Here is a 2,822-nt window from a genome sequence, read left to right as displayed (position 1 = left end):
CATTACATTTGGTTCATGTATATTTCAAATCTCTTTCAATCATTAAGTTTGCCCTCCTTTTGTTTCCTTGAAATTTATTTGTTGAAGAAACAGGAGAGCATAACATATTCATCTCTGCATCCCTGGTGCCTAGTGCAGTGGCTAGGAAATAATCAGAACTTAATGTTAGGTGAATGGATGATCAAGTTAGTGAGTCAGTGAGTTAAGGACCACCGCCTCATCATCCTGGCACAGTGTTTGAACGGGCTGTGTGCTTTCAGACATAGACAGCTCTCAGCTGTCTCTGCATGTTGTCCATACTTGGAAGAGTCTCTCTCCATTGATCCCTCAGTCTCCTGGTCTGCGAAGTGGAGCTGCTAATACCTGGCTTCTGCTGCAGTTCCTGGGGAGGTTGTGACAAAGGCTTGAATTTAAAAAATAAAACCGAAAACAGCTTTGAGCAATTGGTGCTATAAATACTAGAGGAGGAATTCTATTATTAAATGTCCTTTTGTTCATCGAAGCTTTCAGCAGAGTGGTGAGGTTGCTAAGTAGAGCCCCTTTCCACACTGCTTCCATGAATGTGGTGACTGGAACAGATACAGCCAGGAGCATGCCCTGGGGTGGGGAACCCTGGGGCAGGGAGTACTGGGCTCCCTTTAGACAAGTCTGCCCAGCTCTGGCCGGAGAAGCCCTGCAATATCCTATTCCATCCCGGCAAAAATAGAATAGCCAGGAGAATGCGAGGACTGAGACAACTGTTCCTGTTTTGAAAAGCATCGGAAGGATGTGGCTACAGGTGGGGGTTAATGTCTGCCCCTAAGAGCCAAGCCCAGCCAGGAAGCTGCAGGGCCTGCATGGTGGGGAGCTGAGATTTGGGCTGGATTCCTGACAGCACCTGTGACCCCAGCGTCTGGCCATGTCACTGGTAACAATGGAGAACTTCTTGCCTGGAAATTCCGCATGTGTTTACGAGTCAATTAGTTTTCATTCCAAACAAAGAAGATCAGAGAAGCTCTGATGAGAGGCCAGGATCTACTACAGAGAAGCTAATCACCAGTTAGGTCAGGTTTCAGCTTTCCCTGGTTTGGAGAAAATACCGTTCTGAAGCCAGTAGCCATGTGGTGTAGCTCTGATCCACACAAGCAGCCAGGAAACACTTCCCTTTGGGGCATCGTTCATCTAACCTGCACTCCCACAGGGGCTCTGCAGGAGGCTGTATTCAATATTTTCCTCTTACTTAACCTTTCTCCCTCTCCCCACAAACACACTTTCCACATGAAACCAGTTCATGGAAACCAGTACCTCTGGTCTATAACATATTGGGCATGCACGCAGAGTATGTGCCATGAAATTACAAAAATGACAACAGAACATAGGAGTTTGCAAAATGAGCAAATCACTAGGAATTTTTAAAGTAAATTTGAAAGTAATGAGGACCTAGTAGTCCCCATATGTGAAGTGGGAAGTTTGAAAGTTTCAGCCTTTTCTGAGCTTTCTGTGTACCCAAAAAGAGAAGCTTATTTTGGAAGTGGAATAACTATGATTTTTTTCCTCATCAACTCAAAAAGTGGTTGAACTGATTTAGCTCAAACTATAAAAAGACAAAAACCAAATGCGCCCTGGGACAAGATTTCTGTGTGGAATAGAATGGAAGTAACTAGAGGGGTAAGGCCATGAAAATAGAATACCTTAAAATCATATTCCTTCCTCTGATCTTTCAGATGTCCATTAGAGAATCTTGAGGCTCAGTTTGGGGTGTGAGGTTCTGAGTAAAATAGGTAAGTAATTCAAAATTAAACCATCTTTTTAAATAAGAGGTTACTAGAAGTTTCTAGGGATCTGAAATTATTTTACTAAACATTTTCATTTGATTTTATACAAAGCTACCAGCACAGCCAAGGTTTTCAAATCTGTTTAACAAACGGAATTAACTCTGTATTGGCCAATTAAGGAGAGAAGTGGTCTAGAATTTTTAAGAACACAAACTTTGGAGACAGACAGACCTACCTTTATACCCCAGCACTTCCTCTTGATAGGTCTTGAACTTGATATTGAGCCTCTGCTGTTGCTTCTGTGAAACTGAGATAAATTTATCACAGAAGGTTGTGATAACAACTAAAGAAAATGATGAAAATGAAACCCTTAGAATAATGCTTGACATATAATGAACACCCCTAAAATAGTGATTATAGTAACAGTAGTAGTATTCATAAAATTGGGAGTGCTAAATGATTTATCTTCATGCGCTTCTCTACCAAATCATCGAAATCAGTGTTTTCCAAAAAAGTAGAATTTTATGGTGACCAAGAGTAAAAAAATACATTTTATGCAGCGATTGAGTACACATGTACATAGAAGAAACAAAAGTTTTACAGAACATACTATGTGGAATACACTCCATTGCACATACTAACAGTGAGTATTTTCTGTGAAACTTTTAAAAATTATTTTATACATTTTATTTCTTTTCATTTTTTAATGCTGATTATGCCCCACTAGATAGATTTCATTACTGTCTAATGGGTCATAGCCCACAGCTGGTACAATACTTACCTAGATGAAGCCAGGGAAAGAAATTAGCACCCTCAGGAGCCCAGAGAACTGCCTCTTATGAATTAACACTTCTTGCCAAAGTTCAAAGCCAAAATAAATCTTCCTGGAATTTTTTTCCCCATTAAAACTCCCTCTTAGAACAATAAATGACAGCTGGAAAGTGACTAGGCACCAGTGCTCCTCATACTTTCACCTCTGGCCTGGCTCATGGATGATGACATTCTTTTCTAGACCCTTCTGGCAAGTCTGTCCAAGACCTGGGTTTGGCCTGTAGAATCTGACGTGTG

At 41.1% G+C, this 2,822-nt stretch overlaps 2 annotated features.

The window, feature by feature from the left end:
• Positions 427–1,035: an enhancer, noted in NCBI's record as "OCT4-NANOG-H3K27ac hESC enhancer chrX:138307248-138307856 (GRCh37/hg19 assembly coordinates)". NCBI's record gives its function as "activates a minimal SCP1, AML or CMV promoter by ChIP-STARR-seq in naive and primed H9 embryonic stem cells {active_cell/tissue: H9 hESC(naive and primed)}" and the evidence as "EXISTENCE:reporter gene assay evidence [ECO:0000049][PMID:30033119]".
• Positions 1,036–1,645: an enhancer, noted in NCBI's record as "OCT4-NANOG-H3K27ac hESC enhancer chrX:138306638-138307247 (GRCh37/hg19 assembly coordinates)". NCBI's record gives its function as "activates a minimal SCP1, AML or CMV promoter by ChIP-STARR-seq in naive and primed H9 embryonic stem cells {active_cell/tissue: H9 hESC(naive and primed)}" and the evidence as "EXISTENCE:reporter gene assay evidence [ECO:0000049][PMID:30033119]".

Source organism: Homo sapiens, chromosome X (assembly GCF_000001405.40).
Source record: "Homo sapiens chromosome X, GRCh38.p14 Primary Assembly".
Classification (NCBI taxonomy): Eukaryota; Metazoa; Chordata; class Mammalia; order Primates; family Hominidae; genus Homo; species Homo sapiens.
The sequence above is the reverse complement of the archived record's forward strand: the minus strand, read 5'-3'. Positions and strand labels throughout refer to the sequence as shown.